We start from the raw sequence: 26,639 nt of genomic DNA, 5'->3' as shown, positions 1-26,639 counted from the left end.
ATTTTCTGTATACAGCAGCCCCCAAAAGGAATGTGTGATGCATGGAGCATGCTTTCCAAAGAAACTCCTTGAATTCCAGAAGAAGGAAGAAACCTTATGTCTAGCAGTCTGAGCCTGTGGGTTTGTTACGTGGGCTTCATAAAGGGACACTTGAATTAGCTACGCGTGGTGGTGTGCACCTGTAGTCCCAGCTACTTGGGAGGCTGAGGCGGGAGAATCGCTTGAACCCAGGAGGTGGAGGTTGCAGTGAGCTGAGATCACGCCACTGCACTCCAGCCTGGGTGACAGAGTGAGACCCTGTCTCGAAAAAAAAAAAAAAAATTTGAGACGTCTATAGTAAGAAGATAGGCTGGGCGCGGTGGTGCGCTCCTGTCATCCCAGCACTTTGGGAGGCCAAAGCAGGTAGATACTTGAGGTCAGGAGTTCGAGACCAGCTTGGCCAACAGAGTGAAACCCCGTCTCTACTAAAAATACAAAAATTAGCCGGGTGTGGTGGCACCCGCCTGTAGTCCCAGGTACTTAGGAGGCTGAGGCGGGAGAATCACTTGAACCCAGGAGGCAGAGGTTGCAGTGAGCTGAGATCGTGCCACTGCACTCCAGCCTGGGCAACAGAGCGAGACTCCATCTCAAAAAATAAAAATAAGAAAAATAAAGGGACACTGGAACCTCCATGGCACCAGGGAATGGAGGGTTGGGGACAGCGGGCCTCTGTTACCACCGAGTTCCCTCGCGCTAAGCCGGGGGCCTGCAGGGGAGGGGACAGTGGCCAGTGTGCAAACCCCCGCCCAGGCTGCCTCTCACCCCTTGCCGCAGACCTACCGGGAACATCTGGGAGGGCAGAAGCACAGAAAGAAGGAGGCGGCCCAGAAGACAGGCGTGCAGCCCAACGGGAGCCCGCGCGGGGTGCAGGCGCAGCTGCATTGCGACCTGTGCGCCGTGTCCTGCACCGGGGCGGACGCCTACGCGGCCCACATCCGGGGATCCAAGCACCAGAAGGTACGGCCCCGCCCGGCCCAGGCTCTGCCACCCTGGGGAGAAGGCCCCCAGGTCAGCACTTGGGACCCACAGAGGTACCTGGGGAGATCAGAGGGAGCTGGGAGAAGCCTCCCCAAGTGGAGCGCGCCCCAAGGGCCAGCCGCCCAGGCCCATGCGTCCTCATCTTCAAGGATCCAAACTCCTTTCCAGTTATTTTATTTTAGTTTTCATTTTATTATTTTTTTTAATGGGGACAAAGTCTCGTCCTGTTCCCCAGGCTGGGATGCAGGGGCACAATCTCGGCTCACTGCAACCTCTGCCTCCTGGGTTCAAGCAATTCTCATGCCTCAGCCTCCTGAGTAGCTGGGATCACAGGCATCCGCCACCGCACCCGGCTAATTTTTGTGTTTTCAGTAGAGACGGGGTTTCACCATGTTGGCCAGGCTGGTCTCGAACTCCTGACCTCAAGTGATCTGCCCGCCTCAGCCTCCCAAAGTGCCGGGATTACAGGCGTGAGCCACCGTGCGGGGACTCCTTTCCACTTATAAAAAGGGTTCCTGCTCATTGCACAAAAACATGAAGTGGCCGAGACACTCACACCCGGACTTCCAAGAAAGCTTGGCATTCGGGCGTGGTGACAGACAGGGCTTGCCCTGTGATGAGACCCAATGCTGTGTTCCCTTTGAGGTCTTGCTCTTCACACTCCCTGCTGTAGTATCACTGTTCTCCTGAGGCCTTAGTAAGGTCTGGGTCAGGCCGGGCGTGGTGCCTCACGCCTGTAATCCCGGCACTTTGGGAGGCCGAGGCGAGTGGATCGCATGAGGTTGGGAGCCTGAGACCAGCCTGGCCAACATGGTGAAACCCCGTCTCTACTGAAAAATACAAAAATTAGCCGGGCGTGGTGGGTGCGTGCCTGTAATCTCAGCTACTCAGGAGGCTAAGGCAGGAGAATTGCTTGAACCCGGTAGGTGGAGGTTGCAGTGAGCTGAGATCTCGCCACCGCACTCCAGCCTGGGCGACAGAGCAAGGCTCTGTCGCCAAAAGAAAAAAAAAAGAGGCCTGGGTTTCGTCATGTTCGGCGGGGAGGGGATGGAGTCCCCACCTGAGAGCAGGGAGGGGACAGCTGGCTTGTGCTGTAGCCCGGGCTGTCAGGCTGAGCCACCCTGAGAGGCCTGGCTGAGGACCTGGCTTCTCTCCCCCAGCTGCCTGGAGGCTCATCCAGGGCCTCATTCCCTGGCTCGGCTCAGGACAGCTTGCTGAGGGCCCGTGTGAACCCACAGGGGAAAGAGGAATGAGCAGGGAGGCATGGAGGAGGGAAGGAGCGGGGCAGAGAAACGGGGGAAGGAGACTTGGCCTGGGGACCGGAGAGCTAGGGGCCGGTGGGGCAGAGCTGCAGGTGTCACCCCCACAGGCTGGGGCTCAGTCTGGGGGTCAGGCAGGCCCTGCTGCCCGTTGTGGGGTTGGGGGGTACAGGGCAGGTCTTGTACCAGGGTACAGCGTGTCAGAGACAGAGCTGGGAAGTGTGTCTGAGATGGTCCCCAGCACACACACAGTGGCCCTGTGCACACGGAACCTTTGCCAGAAACACCTTGTACCTAGAGGTGCTGAGAATGGGGCACGGCCAGAATACGGACGTGACCATGTGCACACGTGCGTGCAGAACGTGGGTGTCCGTCCAGGGACACGTGCACACCCACCATCCATCCACACATGCTGAGTCCCGGGCAGTCAGGGAGCACTAGGCTGGGGCTTGGGAGGCTGAGAAACGGCCCCACCTGGCAGCCCACGTGGTGGAGGAGGAGGAAGAGCGTCCGTGTGAGCCGGTGAGCCACGTGCTCACACACTAGAGGAGTGTCACCGTGCTAGAGAAGTCACAAGCACGTGTGCAAGGCAGGAGGCCACCTGGGAAGGGCCTTCTGGAGTGGGTGTTATCCAGAGAGCAGGAGGAGAGAAGAGAGGGGGGTCCCTGGGACCGGCCAGCCCACACTCGCGCTGCACGCCCGTGGAGGCCCTTCCTGCCTCTTGAAAAAGGCCATCAGGCTGGGAGCGGCCCTCACGCGGGAGCCCGGCTCTGTCTGTTGCAGGTCTTCAAGCTGCACGCCAAACTGGGGAAGCCCATTCCCACCCTCGAGCCTGCACTGGCCACAGAGAGCCCCCCCGGGGCAGAGGCCAAGCCCACGTCCCCCACTGGCCCCAGCGTGTGTGCCTCGAGCAGGCCAGCGCTGGCCAAGAGACCCGTGGCCTCGAAGGCCTTATGCGAGGGTACGTGTGTCTGTATGCGTGTTCGTGTACCCACCAGAGCCCTGGCCGCCTAGTGAAAGTTTCGTGAGAAAATCTACCATCCAGTCGATTTTCGTCATGTCTTCCCGGGGGGTGGTGAGGGGCTGGCTGGTGCCGTCTCTCCCTTATTCCTGCAGAGCAAGATGGCCTCCCACTGGCCCACACCGCCCTGAACCTTGGAGACCCTTTGAGACCATTTCCAGAGAGTGCTGGCAGAACCAATAAAATGGTAATGCCATTTCTTCCTGTAGAGTTTTTTTGTTTTGTTTTGGTTTGAGATGGAGCCTCGCTCTGTCCTCCAGGCTGGAGTGCAGTGGTGCGATCTCAGCTCACTGCAACCTCTGCCTCCTGGGTTCAAGCGATTCTCCTGCCTCAGCCTCCTGAGTAGCTGGGACTATAGGCATGCACCACCACGCCCGGCTAATTTTTGTATTTTTCGTAGAGACAGGGTTTCACCATGTTGGCCAGGCTGGTCTCGAACTCCTGACCTCAAGTGATCCACCAGCCTCGGCATTCCAAAGTGCTGGGATCACAGGCGTAAGCCACTGCGCCCGGCCTCTTCTGGTAGAATCTGGCCTGGTGCCGGGTGCTGGGGTTCTCTGGAAGCCCTCACCCTGCACCTACAGGGTTCCCTGGGCTGCCACCTCCACTGTGCTCCCCTGCATGCCCTGGTGCTCACGGTGAACAAATTGGGCTCAGAATCAGAGTTATATGGGTACCAGGAAATGAAGGTGGAATCCTCACACCCCTCTGCCTGTGACCCTACCTTCCCTGCGTGCAAAGCCCCAGCTGTCAGAGCTGACCCGCGTTAACTAGGATTACATGCCAGGCGTCTGCTCACTGCTTTGTGTGCATTGCTTCGCTTTACCTCCACGACAACTCTTTTTTCGTGGTTTGTTTTGTTTTGTTTTTGAGACAGAGTCTCACTGTGTCACCCGGGCTGGAGTGCAGAGGTGCAATCATAGCTCACTGCAGCCTCCACCTCCTGGGCTCAAGCGATCCTCCCAGCTCAGCCTCCTGAGTAACTGGGACTACAGGTGTGCACCACCACATCCCACTACTTTTTGTATTTTTTTTTGTAGAGGTGGGGTTCTGCTATGTTGCTGGGGCTGGTCGGAAACTCCTAGGCTTAAGCGATCCTCCCAACTCGGCCTCCCGCAGCACTGGGTTTACAGGCATGAGCCACTGTGCCCAGCCCACAACTCATTTGAGTCAATGTTGTCACCAGTCCCAATGTGTAGATGGAAAAGCCGTAAACGGTGGAGGTGGAATTGGAACCCGGGTCTGTCTAAGAGTCTCTGCCCTGGACCACCGTGCTGTGCGTGGGCAGGGGTCGAGGGAGCCACATTCTATTTTTAGCCTCAGCAGCGTTGATTCTTGAATAGCAACATGATTTTGAAGATCAAACCATCAAGTCATTCTTATAACAAAGATATTTGTCTCCCCCCGAGGCTCCATCATTTCGCCTAACGGGGGTAGGTTAAGTGCGAGCCTTGGTCCGCCTGATACTTCATGGTCTATTAACTGTGGATTTTGTGCTGTCGGTGGGTTCCTCAAGCGAGGGCCTAAAACCAGGGCTTCTCCCCGGATGGATTGAAATTGGCCTCGGTTTCTTGGCTGGGTCACACGCAGGCATGAAAGGGAGAGCGAGGTTGCTGTCCGGGGCCATTCCCCCTGACATCACAGGAGGGAGGGGGATGGCACAGCCTGCAGTCTGGGTGGCTCTCCACCCCATGCCGCCTGGCGGGTCTGCAGCTGCAGTGCTTTCTCCTGGAACAGGGTATAAGTGACATGGTTTTTCCCCTCAGGGCCTCCTGAGCCACAGGCAGCAGGCTGCAGACCCCAGTGGGGGAAACCAGCCCAACCTAAATTAGAGGGTCCCGGAGCACCTACCCAAGGAGGCTCAAAGGAAGCTCCCGCGGGCTGCTCTGATGCGCAGCCGGTGGGCCCGGAATATGTGGAGGAGGTAAGTCGAGGCTGTCAAGTCCTGGTGCCCCGGTCAGGGAAGGACCTTCCCATGGATCAGGCTTCGAGACCTCACCCGGCTTCTCCCAGCGAGATTTACAGACCCATCCCCGTTCCTGAGCTGCACAGGCCAGACCTCCATGGACCAAAACCCCGTGCAGACCCGCTTGACACTTTGGGTGCCGGATTTTGGTATCAGCAGGAAATGAATATGGCCCCGTGAGGGCCAGAGACAGGCCGAGGCATTCCCAACAGGGGACCCTGCGGAGCCGTCTGTCTGGAAGGTGGAAGGGATCTGGGCAGTAGAAAGCTCCCCGGGAGGTTGGAAGCCCTTCTGTCTAGCCCCTTTCCTGGGCCTGCGGGACCCTGGGACCTGCCAAGGTCAGGCTGGTGAGCAGTGGAGCCGAGCTCCTGGGCCAGGTCTGCCAGCTCCCAGGCCAGCGGCAGTTCAGACCCCGGTTGGCCTTGTGCGTGCCAAAGAGGCAGGGCTGGGTTTCCTCTGCCTTGCCTGTAGGCCTGGGATTCTTTTAAGAGAAAGGGTCTTGCTGTGTCACCGAGGCTGGAGCACAGTGGTGCCATCATGGCTCACTGCAACCTCAAACTTCTGGGCTCAATCAATCCTCCCACCTCAGTCTCCTGAGTAGCTGGGACTACAGGCATGAGCCACCACTCCCAGCTAATTTTTGTATTTTTTATTTTTTTTGTAGAGATGGGGGTCTCGCTATGTTGACCAGGCTGGTCTTGAACTCTTGGGCTCAAGCAATCCTCCAGCCTCCCATGGTGGCGTGTGCCTGTGGTCCCAGCTACTCGGGAGGCTGAGGTGGGAGGATCGCTTGAGCCCAGGAGTTTGAGGCTGCAGTGAGCCAAGACCGAGCCACTGTACTCCACTCCAGCTTGGGTGACACAGCAAGACGCTGTCTCTAAAAAGACATACATAAATAAAATGAGCAGCAAGGAGGAAGGCTCCGCCGCGACCTGGCAGCGGTAGCATCTCACATCCCACCCCGCCTCGTGCCTGGTGCGCGTGCGGCTGTTCTGTGTCTCAGGTGTTCAGCGACGAAGGGCGAGTGCTTCGCTTCCACTGCAAGCTGTGCGAGTGCAGTTTCAACGACCTTAACGCGAAGGACCTGCACGTGAGGGGGCGGCGGCACCGGCTGCAGTACCGGGTGCGTCCAGCAGGGGGAGCTCCGACACCCGTCCGGGCTGTGCTAGGGCCCGGCGGGCGCTGGGAGGCCTGTGGTCGGGCCTCTTCCGCGCGTGTGATCCGACGAACTTAAGAGGGAGGGGTGATTTTCTGGGTTTTCAACGTCTTGGTCCTCGTCTCAAAAGTGTATCTTCGGCCGGGCGCGGTGTCTCACGTCTATCATCCCAGCACTTTGGGAGGCCAAGTTGGGTGGATCATTTGAGGTCAGGAGTTCGAGACCAGCCTGGCCAACATAGTGAAATCTTTACTAAAAATACAAAAATTAGCCAGGTGTGGTGGTGCGCACCTGTAATCCCAGCTACTCGGGAGGCTGAGGCAGGAGAATCGCTTGAACCCGGGAGGCGGAGGTTGCAGTGAGCCGAGGTCACACCATTGCACTCCAGCCTGGGAGACAAGAGCAAGACTCTGTCTCGAAAAAAAAAAAAAAAAAAAAAAAAAGGCTTTGGGAGATTTTTCAGCCCAACAGTTCTAGTCTCTGGGCCTCTCCCTGCACCCCAAGATCCTCCTGGCATCCCTGTCTAAAGCAAGGTCCCTACTCTCAGAGCCTTGCCTGTCCTTTCCAGAAGAAAGTGAACCCGGACCTTCCCATTGCCACGGAGCCCAGCAGCCGGGCTCGGAAGGTCCTGGAGGAGCGCATGAGGAAGCAGCGGCACCTGGCGGAGGAGCGGCTGGAGCAGCTGCGGCGCTGGCACGCGGAGAGGAGGTGCCCGGCTGCGGGTCTTGGCAAGGGGGCCTGGTGAGGGAGGGCAGGTCCAGCGTGGAACCTAGACGCCCACTGCTGCAGATTACGGAGCTCCTCCGTGTGAGCTCTCGAGCAGTGGGGGGAGACGGGTGCCCGGGCAGTGGGCACGTCCTGGTGTGGGAGCGTGAGAGGGTTCCAGAGCAGACGGGCAAGGGCACAGTGGCGTGCGGACCTGACACGTGGGCTCCAGGGCCTCCGTAGACGCAGGGACACTGCCGGCCAACTCGCTGGACCACACGGCTGCAGAGGTGCCTTGTGACCTGTGTCCCCCGACCCCCGGTGTCCCTGTGTCCCCGACCTCTAGTGTCCCTGTGTCCCCCGACCTCTAGTGTCCCTGTGTCCACCGACCTCTAGTGTCCCTGTGTCCCCCGACCCCCGGTGTCCCTGTGTCCCCCGACCTCTAGTGTCCCTGTGTCCCCCGACCTCTAGTGTCCCTGTGTCCCCCGACCCCCGGTGTCCCTGTGTCCCCCGACCTCTAGTGTGCCATGTGACCCCTGACCCCTGGAGTCCCCCTGACCCCTGGTGTCCCTCTGTCCCCTGGTGTTCCTGTGTCTCCTGACCCCTGATGACCCTGTGTCCCCTTACCCTTGGTATCCCCTGAGTCCCCTTGACCCCTGGAGTCTCCTGTGTCCCCCTGATCCCCTAGCGTCCCCTCATTCCCAGTGTCCCCTGTGTCCATCCTAGAGCATTTTCTGATGTAACATCTGACTCTGGTGTGTCCAGCAGCAGCAGGTCTGCATTGGGAAGGGAACCAGGACCTCCTGAAGGCCATGGCTGCCCGGGCTGGGCCTCATTTGCCTAAGGGGTGTCTTTGGCTGCCCCCCACACCAGCCTTCCCAGCCTCAGTCTTCTGTGCATACAGCAGGCACCCATGCAGTGCAGTGGAGCCCCAGCAAGAGCTTTGGCCCTTCCTTCCTTGCTGGGAGCATAAGGCCCCAGTGTTTCTGACTTGCCCCCAGCTTAGGGCCACTGCTGGCCTGACCATGCTCTGTCACGTCTCGGTCCTGCAGGCGGCTGGAGGAGGAGCCACCCCAGGACGTGCCGCCCCACGCGCCGCCCGACTGGGCCCAGCCTCTGCTCATGGGCAGGCCGGAGTCACCCGCCAGCGCCCCACTCCAGGTAGGTACAGTTTCCTCTGTGTGCAAACGCGGGCGACCTCACACTCCCCGGAGCAGCGGACACCTCCTCGGGAGGACCCGGCCTCCCCCCAACTCCCACATAGTACTCAGGGGATGGGGCTCCATGGCCCAGGCCTCCTCACTCCACAGATGGGAGCCCCAGCACCCCAGCCCCTGCCACTGGCCACAGAGATCCCTTCTGCTTCCTGGAGCCCCGGGTGGTCGCCTCCCTTGGGGAGCCTCATGCCTCTGTGGCTACTACTGTCTCTTCTCAGAAGCACCTGTCCCCGCAGCCCGAGCCCCCAGGTTCGATGGGAACTATTTTTTTTTGAGACAGAGTCTCACTCTGTCGCCCAGGCTGGAGTGTAGCGGTGCAATCGTGGCCTCACTGCAACCTCTGCCTCCAGGGTTTAAGCGATTCTCATGCCTCAGCCTCCTGAGTAGCCAGGACTATGGGCGCCCGCCACCACGCCGGGCTCTCTTGTGTTTTTAGTAGAGGCAGGGTTTCACCATGTTGGCCAGGCTGGCCTGGAACTCCTGACCTCAGGTGATCCGCCCGCCTCGGCCTCCCTAAGTGCTGGGATTACAGGCGTGAGCCACCGCGCCCGGCCTCAATGGGAACCTCGGATTTGCACCTTGCTGTGAGAAAGGGTTCCCAGGCTGACTCAAAAGCCTCTGGTCTGGAAATTTAAGAATATGGCCAAAGGTGGCGGAGTTTCCCCCCATTCCTTCACTCAGACCCGAGCTTCCTGCAGCCATCGGGGCAGCCCGAGGTACTTCCCTGTTCCCCACCCCGGGGCTCTCTGTGTGCACTGGATTCTCACCTGGCCACGCTGCCGCCTCGTAACCTGGCTGGCCACGGCCACCTGCCCCCACCTGCCCGCCTGCCCAGCACTCCCCAAGGGTCCCCACAGACCACCCTTGACACGTGCGGCCTCTCCCCACAGCCCGGGCGGCGGCCGGCGTCCAGCGACGACCGGCACGTCATGTGCAAGCACGCCACCATCTACCCCACGGAGCAGGAGCTCCTGGCCGTGCAGAGGGCCGTGTCCCACGCAGAGCGGGCCCTCAAGCTGGTGTCCGACACACTGGCCGAGGAGGACCGGGGCCGCCGAGAGGAAGAGGGTGACAAGCGCAGGTCATTGGAGATCCCCTTCCCCAGGGCCCGGCTCTCAGCCAGGACAGAGGTCAGCTCCTCGGGACGAGACCCTGCAGGAACCCCTAGCTCTGATGGGCCTGGAGCCGTCGGTGGCCCGCGGCAGCTTTCCAGCCCCAGGAGTAGGAAGTTCCCCAGGTCTCAGAGCTGGAGCTTCTCGGCACTGAACGAGGCTGGTTTGCAGCGGGTGATCCGTGCTGTTCTAATGCCTTAGCATTCCCTTTTGCTATTGAAGGCGCATCTAAAAATAGTTCACAAGGGACTGACAGTCTCTGTAAACCTCAGTTTCCTCATTGGCAAAAGGAAAAGCTGAGCGTGATTCTGACGGACTTCTCCGCCTTGGGGAGTGACTGAGTAATCAGAGTAGTTCATGTCACTGAGTGCCCGTGTGAATCAGCTCCCAACCCCTGTGATTCTTAGGAAGTGAGAAAGTCCCCACGTCGTCTAAGTAATTGCCATGGAGATAACTCATCTGAGCGGGAGTTACCTTTTTTCAAAGTCCTTTCCTGCTCTGGCAGCTGCTGTTTGTTGTTGTTGTTTTTTTGTTTGTTTTGTTTTTTAAGAAACAGATCTCACTCTGTTACCCAGGCTGGAGGGCAATGGCGCGATCAGAGCTCACTGACCCTCAGACCCCCGGGCTCAAGCTGTCCTCCCGCCTCAGCCTCCCGAGTAGCTGGGACTGCAGGCGCCCACCACCACACCCAGCTAATTGTTAACTCTTTGTAGCAGGGAGAGGTCTCGCTATGTTAGCCAGGCTGGTCTTGAACTCCCGGGCTCAAGCGATCCTCCCACCTCGGCCTCCCAAAGTGCCGGGATTACGGGTTCACTTTCCTCTTTGAATGCTTCTCTATTGTGGTAAAATCCACATCACACAACACTGAGCATTTTAACCTGTCTAAGTGCACAGTTCAGGGGCATGAAGCACGTTCACACGTGCAAACTACACCCCTGTCCATCTCCACAGCTGTCTCATCTTCCCAAACAGAAGCTCTGTCCCAATTAAGCAAACTCCTCTTTTTGTTTCGTGCACCCATGCGTGCCCGCCCTGTCTCTGTGGATTGGCCTGTGCTGGACAGTTCATAGAAATGGGGTCGCACACCGTGTGGCCTTTTGTGTCTGGCTGATCCACTTGGCCTGAGGGCTTCCTTTTGCTGGAGCACAGAGCTCCATATAGGAAATGTGAGCCTTGCACCTGTGGGTTGCAAAGTGTCCCAATACAAGGAGCGCCCAGGAAGCTGCCCTCTCCTTTTTTTTTTTTTTTTTTCTTTTTTGAGACTGAGTCTTGCTCTGTTGCCCAGGCTGGAGTGCAGTGGTGCGATCTCGGCTCACAGCAACCTCTGCCTCCCAGGTTCAAGTGATTCTCCTGCCTCAGCCTTCCAAGTACTGGAACTACAGGAATGTACCACCACACCCAGCTAATTATTATTATTATTATTATTATTATTATTATTATTATTATCATTATTTTGAGATGGAGTCTTGCTCTGTCTCCCAAACTGGAGTTCAGTGACACAATCTCGGCTCACTGCAACCTCCATCTCCTGGGTTCAAGCGATTCTCCTGCCTCAGCCTCCCAAGTAGCTGAGATTACAGGCACCCGCCACCATGCCTGGCTAATTCTTATATTTTTATTAGAGATGGGTTTTCGCCATGTTGGTCAGGCTGGTCTCAAACTCCTGACCTCAAGTGATCTGCCCACCTCGGCCTCCCAAAGTGCTGGGATTACAGGCGTGAGCCACTGCGCCCGGCCTAGGTTTGTGAATTTTCTTAACCCCCGTGAAGCAAGAGCAGAAAGCAGCCTTGCTTTCTGTCCTCTCTGGAACCCATGTGGAGCCGAAACAACAGGGTGACAGAGTCCGTGAACGCGGGAGCCACCAGACCTCGCGGGGCGGGCCTGGGGCTTAGCGTTTGCTCACAAGGAAGGAAAATGTGGGTTTGGCCACGCGTCCCGGCTACTCCGAGGCATGCCCGGTGACAGCACCTCCGAGATCGATCTCACGGTGTCTCATTTCATCCCGCAAGCGCCTCCGACAGAGCGGCCTGGTCCCATTTCATGGATGAGGATGCCGAGGCACAGAGAGGCTCTGTAACTTGCAGGGTCCCCGTAGCTCAGGAGGGAGGCAGCTGGGGTACCCCGCGTCTCTCCGCTGATGGCGCACGTCTGTGGCTTTGTCCCCACAGCAGCGTTGCCCCCCAGACTCGGGTCCTGAAAGGCGTCATGCGAGTAGGCATCCTGGCGAAAGGCCTCCTCCTGCGTGGGGACAGGAACGTGCGCCTCGCTCTGCTCTGCTCCGAGAAGCCCACGCACAGCCTGCTGCGGAGGATCGCCCAGCAGCTGCCCCGGCAGCTCCAGGTAAGGTCAGGGCCCTGCTCATCGCTGCTTCTGGCGTCTGGCTGCCAGCCCTCTCCCCGCAGCCCCTTGCGCTCCTAGATGGCAGGGGACCTTTGTTACTACACAACTTTAAGGTACAAGAAGCATTAAGCCAGGCGCAGTGGCTCACGTCCGTAATCCCAGCACTTAGGGAGGCTGAGGCAGGTGGATCGCTTGAGGTCAGGAGTTTGAAACCAGCCTGGCCAACATGGTGAAACACCGTCTCTACTAAAAATACAGAAATTAGCCAGGCCTGGTGACATGTGCCTGTAATTCCAGCTATGTGGGAGGCTGAAGTGGGAGAATCACTTAAATCCCGGAGGCAGAGGTTGCACTGAGCTGAGATTGCACTGCTGCCCTCCAGCCTGGGCGACAGAGCGAGACTGGGTCTCAAAAAAAAAAAAAAAAAAAAGATACAAGAAGAAGCATCGCTGTTAGAAACCAACCAGTTTGTTAGCCAGGCATGGTGGCTCACACCTGAAATCCCAGCACTTTGAGAGGCTGAGGCAGGAGGATCACTCGAGTCCAGGAGTTTGAGACCAGCCTGGGCAACATAGTGAGAACCTGTATCTGCAAAAAACTTAAAAATTAGCTGAGCATGGGCCAGCCGGGGTGGCTCACACCTGTAATCCCAGCACTTTGGGAGGCTGAGATGGGCAGATCACGAGGTCAGCAGATCGAGACCATCCTGGCTAACACGGTGAAACCCCGTCTCTACTAAAAATACAAAAAAAAAATTAGCCAGGCGTGGTGGCGGGCGCCTGTAGTCTCAGCTACTCGGGAGGCTGAGGCAGGAGAATGGCATGAACCCGGGAGGCAGAGGTTGCAGTGAGCCGAGATCGCGCCACTGCACTCCAGCCTGGGCGACAGAGCGAGACTCCGTCTAAAAAAAAAAAAAAAAAAAATTAGCTGAGCATGGCGGCATGTACCTGTGGTCCCAGCTACTCAGGGAGCTGAAGCGGGAGAATCCCTTGAGCCCAAGAGTTCGAGGCTTCAGTGAGCTGTGATTCACTACTGCACTCCAGCCCGGGCAACAGAGCAAAACTCAGTCTCAAAAGAAATTCAAAAAGAGTAAATGATGATGAAAGCTGCACAGAAAACATTCGCAGCAATGGCGACTAGGAAGCCGTAAGAAAAGCAAAAACCCAATTTCAATTTTAGGGCTGTGAAATGTCAACTGAATTTTTTTCCTCTAGAGAATTTTCATATACTCTTCTCATACTGAAGAATTTACATTGATCATCTTAGGTTTAAAAAGAAAAATCGGGCCTGGCGTGGTGGCTCATGCCTGTAATCCCAACACTTTGGGAGGCCAAGGCAGGTGGATCACCTGAGGTCCGGAGTTCGAGACCAGCTTGGCCATCATAGTAAAACCCCATCTGTACTAAAAATACAAAAATTAGCCGGGCATGGTGGTGGGCGCCTGTAATCCCAGCTACTCAGGAGGCTGAGGGAGGGGAACCATTTGAGCCCTGGAGGCAGAGGTTGCAGTGAGCAGAGATAGTGCCACTGCACTCTAGCCTGGGCCACAGAGTAAGACTCTGTCTTAAAAAAAAAGAAAGAAAGAAAAATGAAAAATCAGTCCCCAGAGTCGTTCCTTCTTCCTGAGCGTCTGTCACCATCCCTGGGAAAACTCAGCCTTACTCCTTTGACTTTTCCAGTGGGCACTGGATGCCCAGTGGATGGGCAGTGCCTGGTCGGGGAGACAGTGTTCCCCATAGAATGACCAGCACCTGCAGAGGCCAAAAAGCAGGAGGCCCAGAGCAAGGAGGGGTGGGCACGAGGGAATGAGGGGGCACCTAGATCAAGCCAGGCCTGAAGGCCGTACCAGGAGGTAGGATTGCATTCTTAGGGAAGTGGGGAGGCTGGAGGGTTTTGAGCAGGGGAGTGACATGCTCTGACTTCAATAATTGCATCTCACATTTCCTGCACACCTACAACATGACAGTGGCCACAACATGATAGATACAGCCCCTGCTTTCTGGAAAACTTGCAGCCTGGTGGCAAAGACAATAACTGAGCCCCATGAGAATGTATAAGGCTGTGGGGAAGCTGACAACATCCACCCCAGTAATGTCAACGGAGCCCCCTGGGGGCTGCCTTGCAGCAGGGAGGCCCTGAGAAGGGAAGGGATGGAGGATGGGGAGAGAGGTGCGTTTCAGGTGGGAGGCCAGGCTCAGGTGTGAGCACAGGCCTCATGGAGGGTGATGACCATGGACAGGAAGACCAGACTGTGACACAGACCTCTTGAGCTATGTCCTGCTCACAGGAGATGGTGGCGTCTCATTATGGTTTTAGTTTACTCCTCCCTGACTATGGGGTAATGTGTGTCACTGTGTAAAAAGGGCCATTTGTGTTTCTTTTTCTGCCAGGTATCTGTTATTTCACTCACCAATTTTTTTATTGGATTGCTGGTCTTCTTGTTATTGAATTACAGGTATTCTTTACATATGGAGGCTCCTTGCATCACATGATCTGTTGTCTGTACATATCTCTACATGTGTGCACTCCTGGAGGGCTGCGGCTGTGTCTTGGTCACTTGGAGGTTCCAGACACAGGGCACAGGGCCCGGCACCCAGGCAGCAAGTGTGGGAGGCCCGACGGGATTAATTTACACACACCAACCACATCCTGGCTGATTTACACATGAATCTGGGCTGCAGTAAGGTGGCCTTGTGTTGTATTTACCCCTCCCAGATGGTGACCGAGGATGAGTATGAGGTCTCCTCCGACCCTGAAGCCAACATTGTCATCTCCTCCTGTGAGGAGCCCAGGATGCAGGTCACCATATCTGTCACCTCACCTCTGATGCGGGAGGACCCCTCCACAGACCCAGGTGCGGCCCAGCCCTTCCTTCCAACCACTGTCCCCCTCACGCTTCCCCAGGGCGCTCCCCACACCCAGGCCTGGGGCAGCGTCCGCCTCTGCCCTGAGCAGGAAATGCCACAGCAGCCACGCTCCAGCACTGCTGTCCCCCTGAGGATTCCATGGGTCACACAAGAGCTGGGTCTCCGGGCAGCAGAGGCGGCGAGTCGGTGACAGCATCAGATGGGCTCAGAGCCTGGCTGCAGGGGCCTTGCTCGGGCAAGCGACACCGTGTCACCTCCCTTGCCCTTACCCAGGGCTGGCACCTGCTTCTCAGGCCCTGGTGACACCAGCCCTGGCGGCAAAGGACAGGTCTGAGCCATTTCCCCTGGGTCACGGCAGAAGCTCAGTTTGACTCTGTCCATCAGTCACCACAGTCCCAGTGCCACTGATTAGGAATGTAGGGAATCGGGGGTCTTAAAGCCAGACCTGCCAGGCCTGGGAGGGTGGGTGAGGGGCCGGGCCAGGCTAGGGGCAGCGAGGGTCTTGGCCAGCGGCCACAGCGAAGACAGGCATCAGTAACACACTGCACGTCTGTGCTCCCGAAGTCTCAGCCAGCTGTGGAATCTTCCAGAACAGTCTCTAGGGCAGTTTTCCAAACTCCTATCATCTTTTACCCCCTTCGTAATCTTTTTTGGTCATAACTGAGGGCCATGACCTACTGATGTTTCTCTTTCAATCGATTTGGTATTTTTTGTTTGTTTGTTTTTTGAGACAGAGTCTCGCTCTGTTGCCCAGGCTGGAGTGCAATGGCGCAATCTCAGCTCACTGCAACTTCCGCCGCCTGGGTTCAAGCGATTCTCCTGCCTCAGCCTCCGAGTAGCTGGGACTACAGGTGTGCGCCACTATACCCAGTTAATTTTTTTGTATTTTTAGTAGAGACAGGGTTTTACCAGGTTGGCCAGGTTGGTCTCGAACTCCTGACTTCAGGTGATCCACCCACCTCGGCCTCCCAAAGTGCTGGGATTACAGGCATGAGCCACCATGCCTGGCCCAATTTGTTTTTTAAAGCTTAAGTGTTTTGTTTTGTTTTTTAATAAGAGCCTTGAATCATTAAATGGAAAGTCACGATCAGTCCTCACAAATAGTCATCTAAAAACTAAGTACAGTGTGGGGAAGAGAGTGGCTTTTGGCGCTAGCTGAAGGCTGTGACACAAATGCGGAGGAGGCTGGGGAGTGGCGCGGTTGTGGGGGCGGGTTAAGGGTTGGCGGCCACTAGACAGTGGCTCTTTCCTGGCTCGGGTGGGTGATGAAGTGAGCGGAAATCCTTCTGTGAGGACAGATCAGTGACAGAAGAGCCCCGTGAGCCGCCCCCCAGGAAAGTGCACTTCCTGTCGGCCTTTTCCTGCCCCCGCTTCCTCTCCCCAGGCCCAGCGTGGTGGGGAGGTGAGCTTCTAAAACTCCCTTTTTAGGTCGGGCACAGCGGCCCACCTCTCTAATCCCAGCACTTTTGGAGGTCCAAGTGGGAGGATTGCTTGAGCCCAGAAATTCGAGACCAGCCTGGGCAAGGTAGTGAGACCCCATTTATAAAAAAAACAAAAAAATTTGGCCAGGCGCGGTGGCTCACGCCTGTAATCCTAGCACTTTGGGAGGCCAAGGCCGGCGGATCACCTGAGGTGAGGGGTTCGAGATCAGCCTGGCCAACACGGTGAAACGCTGTCTCTACTAAAAATATAAAAATTAGCTGGGCGTGGTGGCGTGCGCCGGTAATCCCAGCTACTCAGGAGGTTGAGGCAGGAAAATCACTTGAACCCGAGAGGCGGAGGTTGCAGTGAGCCAAGATTGCGCCACTGCATTCTAGCCTGGGCAACAGAGTGAGACTCCATCTCAACACAAACAAACAAATAAATAAATAAATAAATATTAGCTGGGTGTGGTGGTGCACGCCTGCAGTCCCAGCTACTCAGGAGGCTGAGGCAGGAGGATCACGTGAGCCCAGGAGTTCGAGGTTGCAGTGAGCTCCAGTCACACCACTGCACTCCAGCCTGGGCCACAGAGCGAGACCCTGTCTCTAAATACGTAAAAAATAAAATCCCCACCGGGCACGGTGGCTCACGCCTGTAATCCCAGCACTTTGGGAGGCTGAGGTGGGAGGATCACCTGAGGTCAAGAGTTCAAGACCAGCCTGGCCAACATGGGGAAACCCCGTCTCTACTAAAAATACAAAAATTAGCCAGATGTGGTGGCGGGCACCTGTAATCCCAGCTACTTGGAAGGCTGAGGCAGGAGAATCACTTGAACCCCGGAGACAGAGGTTGCAGTGAGCCAAGATCATGCCACTGCACTCCAGCCTGGGTGACACAGTGAAACTGTGTCTCAAAAAAAAAAAAGCGTCGAGGGGCCCAAACTGAGCCCCTCACCCCGTCGGCAGCAGAGCGGGACGAGGCACCTTCCCCGCACACCTCGAGGTTTTTCTTCTAGAAGGTGTGGAGGAGCCTCAGGCTGATGCAGGTGATGTCCTGAGCCCCAAGAAGTGCCTCGAGTCCCTGGCCGCCCTCCGTCATGCCAGGTGGTTTCAGGTCAGGGGGGCAGGGGTGGAGCAGGGGGAGAGGGGTGACTTTGAGGAACGTAGCTCAGAGGCACCAGGTCAACCCGGCGCGGCCGCCTCAGCCCCGTGGGCTCCCAGCGCAGACCGGGACGCCTGCCATCAGCTTCCTGGCCGAGTGCTGACTTGACAACCAACGCTGGCTCCTGGCTGATGGGGTCGGGAAGTGTGGAAGGAGTGGGTGCTGCCCTGGGGGTGGGGACGCTGCCGTCTCGTGGCCACTCAACAGCCTGGTGGCACCGGGCTCATGTGGGAGTGGACTCTGTTTCCACCCGCCACCTTCGAGGCCCGCCAGGCTCCCTATTATCCTCCCTGGGGTTCACGCTCACGACAGAGCCCGGCGCCATGCCGTGTGGCCACGTGAGCCCCTGAAAGCTAACCGTGTGCTTCTCCCCCGAAGGCTCGAGCCAGCGGCCTGCAGCCATGCGTGATCGTCATCAGGGTCCTGAGGGACCTCTGCCGGCGTGTGCCCACCTGGGGGGCCCTGCCAGCCTGGGTAAGGCAGTGCCTGGCGGCCCGGCCCTCCACTGGGACCCCCAAGGGCCTCCATGGCCCTGACAGGCCCAGGCTGAGAGACAGACCTTTTCCCTCGAAGGAGCCGGCGGGAGACCTAGTACTCAGGAGAGGCCGTGGGAGTCCCTGAGGTCCCCTTGCGGGGGAGACGGCCCTCTCCACAGCCTCATTTGACTGCCACTATTCAAAACCCAGAACCTCACATGCAAATGTGGGACTGGCCAGGGAAATGTGAGGTGTCTGCCCGACTTCGTGGCACCGGGGCAGAGGGGCCCAGGCAGAGGGGCGGAAGCCGGACTCCCCATCCTGGCTGCACACCGGCCTCTGGGTGACCCAGCCCAGACCCACCTGCTCTGGAGGGGAGACCCCCTGTGGCTCAAACACCACCCCCCAGCCCATCCTGGTAGAAAGGGGAGGGAAGAGAAGAAACAGAATCCCCTCACCACAAGGTTCACAGAGCACGCCCCATGCCCACGCTCCCCACGGAGACCCCGGGAACCCACCCAGTCCCCACACCTTCTCCACCAGCCACAAGCCAGCCATCCACACCCGGCCTCCCCCCCGCCCTGCGGGCGTCCCCCATCTCATGCTGGAGTGGCGTCCCCCATCCCGTGCTGGAGTGGTGTCTTGCCCGTGGTCCCTCCCACTGGGCCTGTGTGCCTCATCCACACCCACCCACTGCCCAGTGTCCAGAATGCAGCATGGTACAGAGGCGTTTGTTTGTTTTGTTCTGTTTGGTTTGGTAGAGATTAAGTCTCTTTTTTACTTTTTTTTAAAATCATTTTTTTGAGATGGAGTCTCGCTCTTGTTGCCCAGGCTGGAGTGCAGTGGCGAAATCTTAGCTCACTGCAACTTCTGCCTCCTGGGCTCAAGCGATTCTCCTGCCTCAGCCTCCCGAGTAGCTGGGATTACAGGCACGCACCACCACGCCTGGCTAATTTTTGTATTTTTAGTAGAGATGGGGTTTCGCCATGTTGGCCAGGATGGTCTCGAACTCCTGACCTCAAGTGATCTGCCCGCCTCAGCCTCCCAAAGTGCTGGGATTACAGGCATGAGCCACCGCGCCGGACCTTTCACACTCATTGTTTAGGGGAAACGTCCTCTCCTCTCCTGGGAGGAGGTCACAGTAGCCTCCGTGCTGGGTGACCGGTGTGCGGCTGTCCTGACGTGGAGAAAGCCTGTGTTCCCTGAGACCTGTTTTCCTGCTGTGACTGTAGAGGCACCCACACAGTGCTGTGGGAGGCCAGCAATGCCCCTGTCCCCTCGTGCCCTCGGGAACTGGCCACAGGGGGGACGTGGTGGGATAGGGTGGCTCCTTCCCCTCAGCTGAGGCGGGCCCCACGTGGTGGACAGTGCACCTGACACTGGCATGTGATGTCACTGTGGACCGGCCGGGGAAACTGAGGCTCAGAGGGGTGAAGAAACCAGCCAGTATGGGAGGCTGAGGCAGGAGAATCGCTTGAACCGGGGAAGCAGAGGTTGCAGTGAGCTGAGATCGTGCCACTGCACTCCAGCCTGGGCAATAGAGCGAGACTCCGCTCTCAGAAAAGAAAGAAACCAGCCTGTGGCCGTGCCAGGAGGTGGCAGAGCCCTGCCACGGGCAGCCCTCCTCGGCGGAAGTTCAGTGGGTGGTGGGAGTTAGAGAAAGAGCTGAGGGGGGCCTCCTGTCCCAGGGACCCCAGGACCTCCCGGGCAGGCAGGGGCTGCCGCGCGCCCAAAACACAGCAACTGCTCTTCTGTCCCCACCAGGCCATGGAGCTGCTGGTGGAGAAGGCTGTGAGCAGTGCGGCTGGGCCCCTGGGCCCCGGGGATGCAGTCAGGCGAGTCCTGGAGTGCGTGGCCACAGGGACGCTCCTGACAGGTCAGTCGCTGGGCCGGAGGGCCCAGGAGGTGGGCGGCAAATCGCAGAGACCAGGGCCCGTGGCCATGGCACAGAGAGCTGGGGTCACAGACACAGAGGAAGTGTCCAGCCCAGGCAGGAGTGCGGCCCACAACACACACATGCTCCCAGCAGGAAGGCAGACAGGGCCGCGGTCATGGAGGACACCACCCTGCACGCAGGGCACAGACACGCAGGTCCCGGAAGGGAGGGCTCAGCCCCCACCCAGGAGACAACAGTTATGTTCTCTGGTGGCCACGCCCACCGGCGGCGGCACAGAGCCACCCCGGCACAGAGCCACTCTGGCACAAATCCACCCCGGTGCCTGTCCTCCAAAGATTATCCAGAGGGAACAGCCAGGAGCTCAGAGGACAGAGGGCGCAGAGCTGCCCAGCACAATGCGTTCTACACCAGCAGAGGGAAGAGAACGCGCCAGGACACACATGTGAGAGGGTGGCGGCCAGATACGGAAAAGGGTGTTTTCGAGTCATTTTTAGTGACATAGGATGATAGCAAGTGAAAAGGGAGCATGAAGCTTTCGGCCCATTGCCTGGGCCATCATGTAAAGCACACGTGTAGGCATGCACACGCACACACGCACATACTTGCACACACGGGCACACGCACGCACTCGCACGGGCACACACGCACATACACAGGCACGTGCATGCACACGCACAGGCACACACATGGACATACTTGCACACACGGGCACACATACGCACGGGCACACATATGGATATGAGCACACATACAGGCACACATGGATGTACTTGCACACACGGGCACACATGCACGCACACGCACGGGCACACAAGGACATGAGTGCACATACAGGTGCACACATGGATGTACCTGCACACACGGGCACACAAGCACGCACGGGCACACACAGACATGAGTGCATGCACACACAGACATGCATGCACACATGGGCATATACACATACATGAGTGCACACGGGCACACATGCACACACACAGGCACATGCATGCACACACACGGGCACACACATGGAATGAGTGCACATACAGGCACACGTGGACATGCTTGCACACACAGGCGCACATGCATACGCATGGGCACACACATGGACATGCATGCACAGGCACACATGCACACACACACGGGCACACCGTGCATGCATGGACACACATGGGTGCATGCACAAGCACACACCGACATGGGTGCACACACGGGCACACATGCACACACAGGCACACATGCACATACGCCAATGAGCACACACGTGCACACACGGACACACACGTGCACATGGGCACGCATGGACACACACGTCAGCGTATGTGTATATGCATGGGTGCACACAGGCACGAACACACACACAACGCCCAGGAGATGCTGGCAGCCCAACAGGCTTTGAGGGGCCAGGAGGACTCCCCCATGTGCCCGGGTGAGACCCTGAACCTGCTGAGAGAGGCCTGAGGGTCAGAGGTGCCACGGCTGCAAGTATAGCCCCATGCACGGGCCCCTGAGGCCCCACGGTGTCGAGGGACGGCCCTGTCACCGTCTTTCACGAGGGCATTCTCGCCTTCTTTGCTGTTCCCACTCCCCGTCACAAAGACGGGCCCGGGCTCCAGGATCCCTGCGAGAGAGACCAGACAGATGCCCTCGAGCCCATGACCCTCCAAGAGCGGGAAGACGTGACCGCCAGCGCCCAGGTAGGAGGGTCAAGTCACGGCAAGGGTGACACCCAGGCCCCAGCTCCGGCTTGCAGCTGTGCAGTGTTCCCCGAAATGGCCTGGGTTTCCCCTTCTCTCCCTCCCACTGAGATGTACAGGAACAGGAGGGCGGCCCGTGGGTGGCAGGACCACGCACAGGGACAGGGCCAGCCTGGCATGGTGGCGTGGGGCCAGCAGCTGAGAGCCAAAGCCACCACCGTTAATGACGCCCAGACCTCAGGTCTCATTGGCAGGGACCGTCCTCCCCCACACCACTGACCATGGTCCTAGAAGCCCAGCCGTGGCCGACAGCTCCGCCTGCCCAGCCCTCACCTGTGGTTACCTTGTTTGCAAATTTGTTTATAAGAAAAATCTCCTAGCAGCACCAAAACCAAACCGCATCGGGTCTGACGTTTCTGAATTTTGCCTTGAATGGGATCACTGGAATGGCTTGCAGTGCAGGATGTGGGGTCCCTCCAGTGAGGCGGAAAGAGCTGGTGGTCAGTGGAGCGGGGGGGCCTCCTGGGACAGTCCTTGTGGTCAGCCGGCACCACGCGAAAATTCCTCAGGCCCTGCAGTGACCCAAGCTCCGCAGTCGTAAGAAGCGGTGTCGGCCGGGCCGGGTGGCTCACGCCTGTCATCCCAGCACTTTGGGAAGCCGAGGCGGGCGGATCACAAGGTCAGGAGTTCGAGACCAGCCTGGCCAACATGGTGAAACCCTGTCTCTACTAAAAATACAAAATTAGCTGGGCGTGGTGGCACACGCCTGTAATCCCAGCTACTTGGGAGGCTGAGGCAGGAGAATCACTTGAACCTGGGAGGCGGTGGTTGCAATGAGCTGAGATCGCGCCACTGCACTCCAGCCTGGGTGACAGAGCGAGACTGTGTCTCAAAAAAGAAAGCGGCGGGGGGCCGGGGGCTATCTCGAGGGATACAGGATAGGCCTGGCCCATCTGCTGGTGGCCACAGACACCAGCCCCTCTGTGTCCCCAGCACTCGGGGAGCAGAGCGGGCGGGGGTCCTGACAGGCTGTGTGTGCCCCGCAGCACGCCCTGCGAATGCTGGCCTTCCGGCAGACCCACAAGGTCCTGGGCATGGATCTCCTGCCGCCCAGACACCGGCTGGGGGCCCGCTTCCGGAAGAGGCAACGGGGACCTGGCGAGGGAGAGGAGGGCGCAGGGGAGAAGAAGCGGGGCCGGCGGGGCGGAGAGGGGCTCGTGTGAGCCGCCTACCTCCCCCACCTGCGGGCCTTTGCATCCCTGCACTCCTGGACGTGTGCGCGCCGACCAATGGCTGCTTCATCCCCGACGTTGGACAATGGTCATTTCCTTTTGAGTAACGCTCTGTAGGTTTCCTTTAAAACACCTGTGCTTCAGACCGGGCACTGTGGCTCATGCCTTTAATCCCAGCACTTTGGGAGGCTGAGTTGCTTGAGCCTGAGAGTTCAAGGCCAGCCCAGACAACAGAGTGAGACCCCCATCTCTCCAAAATATTTTTAAAAATCAGCTTGGCATGGTTGGTGGCCAGGCGCGGTGATTCACGCCTGTAATCCCAGCACTTTGAGAGGCCGAGGTGGGCAGATCGCCTGAGGTCAGGAGTTCGAGACCGGCCTGGTCAACATGGTGAAACCCTGTCTCTAGTAAAAAACACAACAATTAGCCTGGCGTGGTGGTGTGCACCTGTAGTCCCAGCTACTTGGGAGGCTGAGTCCGGAGCCTTGAGGCCAGGAGGGCAGTGAGCTGTGATTGCACCGTGACACTCCAGCCTGGGCAACAGAAGAAGACTTTGTCACTTAAAAGAAATGTTTTTTAACATTTGTGCTTAAATTGTTACAGAAATGACACCATCCAGCCCTGGGAGTGGCACCCCTTCCTCGAGGGCCCCATCCCCCACAGCCAGGGGGGCCAGCAGTACAGCAAGCAGATTCTAAACTCGGGGGCATCTTGCTGGCTCTAAACTCACCTCGTGGTACAGGAAGGGGTTTTAAAATACTTCCTCTGGGCTGCGCATGGTGGCTCACACCTATAATCCCAGCACTTTGGGAGGCCAAGCTTGGTGGATCGCTTGAGCCCAGCGGTTTAAGATCAGTCTGGGCAATATGGTGACACCCCATCTCTACAAAAAATTAGCCAGTTGTGGTGGCCCAAGCCTGTAGTCCCAGCTACTCGGGAGGCTGAGGCCGTAGGATCCCTTGAGCCCAGGAGTTCGAGGCTGCAGCGAGCCGAGATTGCGCTACTGAACTCCAGCCTGGGTTACAGAGCGAGACCCTGTCTCAAAGAAACAAACAAACAAACAAACAAACAAACAAAACTTTCTTTGGATGCGGCTGCGGCATGGATTTGAAATCACGTGGGCAGGCCCTGTTCTGGGGCCCCACCACATGTGCAGGACAAGCCCAGGGGAGCTCCCAGCCGGCATCCCCACGCCCCCAGCCCAGCCTGCTCCAAACAGACCCCCCACCCACCTCCACAGCCAGGATGTCAGCAGGGCCTGAGCCAGGCTCGTCCCCTGTGGGGAGAGCCACAGGGCCAGGTGGACACGCCGACGGGCGATGAGGATCCTGGCTGGGCCTCCCCCGGGAACAGCTGTGCTGGACAGTCAGACCCGGAGCCCAGAGGCACCCCCACCCACCCCCCGCCCCGAGCCCTGTACCACTGAGTGCCTTTCACAGAGAAAACCCACTCTGCCATGTGTCACTGAGGCCTGGATTTGAGCTTCCGTCCTTCCTTCCTCCCTCTCTCCCTGATGTAGGCCTTGGCTGGCCCTGAGGCAGGGGGTCCCCAATCCCCCCTTGTGGTAGCAGGGCCCGGGACCCGTGCCTGGGGGACCCGGGGAGGGGCCGCCGTCTTGTGGATGCTGGCCATGGTGGGCAGGCGCCTCCTGGCACTGATGGATGTGGGGGCACCCCCTTCTGAGTCCCCACCCCAACCTGTTCAAACCTTCCGCTTGGTCAGTTTTTTTTTCTTTGGCCAGCTGCCCAGTGGCATTGAATGAGAAAAGTCCACCTTTGGGCAGATGTGATCTCCAGCCAGTGGCTCAGTTTTGTTTCTCTGTGTTTGAAGGACAGCCTGCATGTGGCTCTGTCTGAATGTCTTTGTAGAGCTACCTGGAAATTGGGAGGCAGGGGGAATAAAGGAAATCATTTGTCTTTTGTGTGAGCCGTGCCGTCCTTCCTGCGGGGTGCAGGTGACCCCAAATGCTGGGCTCTTCACCTCCTTCTCAGGGTCCCGGGTGGGGGTCTCCCAGAAACCCTGCAGCCCAAATGTGGACTGGGAGGGGCCCAAGGGGCTGGCACTGCTCAGTGGCTGCTCCCCAAGGTGTGGGCATCCTCAGGCTGTCCCCTCACAAGGGTCCCCTGGGAACACAGACACACCGGCTGAGAATCATTCATCTCAACGCCTCCCATAACCCAGCTCTCTGCCTCGGTCCTTGAGGGTTCCCCTGGCCCCATCCTAGAGACACACAGTGAGATGCTCTGGAGGCTCCCCGAGGGCTTCCTGGAGGAGGAGGCAACTACGCTGAGTTTGGGAGAGATGCCTCTGCCCACAGAGTGCTTCCCCCGCCACATTCCCAAACCCTCAGAAGGCGGGCGGAGGGTGTTCAGATGCTGAGACCTGGTCACAGTGGAAGAGTTTCGTGACAGTTTCCAGCCCACAGGGCTTCCCTGGCAGTGTTTGGGACGGGGGGCAGGCGGGGAGCAGAGTGGGGAGGAGGCAGATGCAGGGTGGGGGAGGAGGCAGATGCAGGGTGGGGGCGGCGGGACGGGAGTGGCAGGGGCTGGGTGTGCAGGGACCGCTGTTTCAGGCCCAGGCCAAAGGAGGGGGGTGGGGAGCCACCGAGGGGTCCCCTTCTAGCAGGGATTATCTGTCAGCAACAGGAATTGCTGGTTAAGCCTCCCCGGAGGGCAGGCGGCCTCTAGGCCACCGTCCTCCTCCACCTCACACCCTCTCTCCTGCTTTCCACTCTATCCCAGATTTCTTGGGAACTTCACTCCCTTGCTACACACTCCGTCCACACACAGCCCCTCTCTCCGTCAGCATCGCGGCAGCAGCACCGCCATTTGCCCAGGGCTCAAGGTGACAGCCAGCACAACCAGGGAGGCCTCCTGGATTCCTCTGTGCTCCCGGCCAATCCATGAGGATGTCTTGTCAATTCCAGTTCCACCTTTTTTTTTTTTTTTTTTTTTTGAGACAGGGTCTCTGTCTCCCAGGCTGGAGTGCAGCAGCTCGATCTCAGCTCACTGCAACCTCGCCTCCTGAGTTCCAGTGATTATTCCACCTCAGCCACCCGAGTAGCTGGGACTACAGGCCTACATCACCACGCCCAGCTAATTTTTTGTATTTTTAGTAGAGACGGGGTTTCACCATGTTGGCCAGGCTGGTCTCAAACTCCTGACCTCAGGTGATCCGCCCACCTCAGCCTCCCAAAGTGCTGGGATTATAGGCGTGAGCCACCGCGCCTGGCCTATTCCTTGACTTTAAACCATGCATCTTTGAAACGATTTGGTATCTGTCTTCCCCTTGAGAATGTGAACTCTCTGCCTGTCAGGAAGCCTCTCACCATCAATTGGATCACCACTGTATTCCCAGATCTCGGGCAGGCCAGGTGGACGCTAGCAACTGAGTCGGTCTCAGTGCTCAGAGCCACGCTCTGACACCAGAGGACGTGTCTCTTTCTGGTGGTTATGAGAATACCATTTGTCGGCCGGGTGCAGTGGCATGTGCCTGTAATCCCAGCACTTTGGGAGGCCAAGGCGAGCGGATCACTTGAGGTCAGGAGTTCGAGACCAGCCTGGCCCACGTGGTGAAACCCTGTCTCTACTAAAAATACCAAAAATTAGTTGGGTGTGGTGGCGGGCACCTGTAATCCCAGCTACTTGGAAGGCTGAGGCAGGAGAATCGCTTGAACCCGGGAGGCAGAAGTTGTGGTGAACTGAGATCACGCCATTGCACTCCAGCCTGGGCAACAGGAGCAAAACTCTGTCTCAGAAAGACAGAGAACACCATTTGTCTCTGTCTCGTTACCGGTGAGGGACTCCAGCCAAGGCTGTGGGGACAGAGGGAAGGGACAGGGGAAGGGGCACACCCTGGCAGGCCTGGCGATCACAGCAGCCCCTGGTGGGAGGCACCTCGTCCCCTGCTGTGAACCCCAGGCGGTACCTGCAGCCCCGCTTCCTTCCTTATGCCCCGGGAGAGGCGGCTCTCGGAAGCCTCCCACCCACAGTTCCCGTTCCCATCCCTGGCTCCCGGGGAAGGCAAACAGGATTCCTGCCACCAGGTGGGTGAAAACCAGCCCGGCTGACAAAGAGTTAAGTCGGCCCTCCTAGCAACTCCAAAAAACCAAG

At 58.1% G+C, this 26,639-nt stretch overlaps 1 protein-coding gene across 2 annotated transcripts in view, besides 4 other annotated features; it reads left to right on the top strand.

The window, feature by feature from the left end:
• Positions 1-24,443, top strand: part of ZFR2 (zinc finger RNA binding protein 2) — a 65,015-nt gene extending 40,572 nt beyond the window's left edge. Inside the window, exons 6-19 of one of the 2 annotated variants that reach the window (NM_015174.2) lie at positions 814-996; positions 3,060-3,237; positions 5,064-5,221; positions 6,267-6,386; positions 6,988-7,127; positions 8,177-8,285; positions 9,232-9,422; positions 11,622-11,793; positions 14,509-14,647; positions 17,101-17,195; positions 17,622-17,717; positions 19,484-19,595; positions 21,198-21,295; positions 22,342-24,443. In NM_015174.2, coding sequence (NP_055989.1) covers positions 814-996; positions 3,060-3,237; positions 5,064-5,221; positions 6,267-6,386; positions 6,988-7,127; positions 8,177-8,285; positions 9,232-9,422; positions 11,622-11,793; positions 14,509-14,647; positions 17,101-17,195; positions 17,622-17,717; positions 19,484-19,595; positions 21,198-21,295; positions 22,342-22,518 — 1,968 coding nt within the window. In that variant the 3' untranslated portion in view covers positions 22,519-24,443. Of the gene's footprint in view, positions 1-813; positions 997-3,059; positions 3,238-5,063; positions 5,222-6,266; positions 6,387-6,987; positions 7,128-8,176; positions 8,286-9,231; positions 9,423-11,621; positions 11,794-14,508; positions 14,648-17,097; positions 17,196-17,621; positions 17,718-19,483; positions 19,596-21,197; positions 21,296-22,341 lie in introns of both variants that reach the window. The other variant, XM_011527831.3, reaches the window with a different exon arrangement.
• Positions 6,508-6,667: an enhancer, noted in NCBI's record as "active region_13745". NCBI's record gives its function as "activates an Ori minimal core promoter by ATAC-STARR-seq in GM12878 lymphoblastoid cells {active_cell/tissue: GM12878}" and the evidence as "EXISTENCE:reporter gene assay evidence [ECO:0000049][PMID:35858748]".
• Positions 9,505-9,705: a silencer, noted in NCBI's record as "peak3257 fragment used in MPRA reporter construct". NCBI's record gives its function as "represses an SCP1 promoter by STARR-seq MPRAs in K562 erythroleukemia cells {active_cell/tissue: K562}" and the evidence as "EXISTENCE:reporter gene assay evidence [ECO:0000049][PMID:32103011]".
• Positions 9,742-10,036: a silencer, noted in NCBI's record as "tiled region #15218; HepG2 Repressive non-DNase unmatched - State 21:Repr". NCBI's record gives its function as "represses a minimal TATA promoter and a strong SV40 promoter by Sharpr-MPRA in HepG2 cells {active_cell/tissue: HepG2}" and the evidence as "EXISTENCE:reporter gene assay evidence [ECO:0000049][PMID:27701403]".
• Positions 19,077-19,312: a silencer, noted in NCBI's record as "fragment chr19:3809153-3809388 (GRCh37/hg19 assembly coordinates)". NCBI's record gives its function as "represses an EF-1alpha promoter that drives an FKBP-Casp9 reporter gene in an ReSE screen in HepG2 liver carcinoma cells {active_cell/tissue: HepG2}" and the evidence as "EXISTENCE:reporter gene assay evidence [ECO:0000049][PMID:32094911]".
• Positions 24,444-26,639: the final 2,196 nt, after the last annotated feature.

This window comes from Homo sapiens, chromosome 19, assembly GCF_000001405.40.
Source record: "Homo sapiens chromosome 19, GRCh38.p14 Primary Assembly".
Lineage (NCBI taxonomy): Eukaryota > Metazoa > Chordata > Mammalia > Primates > Hominidae > Homo > Homo sapiens.
Note: the sequence above shows the minus strand (reverse complement) of the source record. Positions and strands in the feature narration are given on the sequence as shown.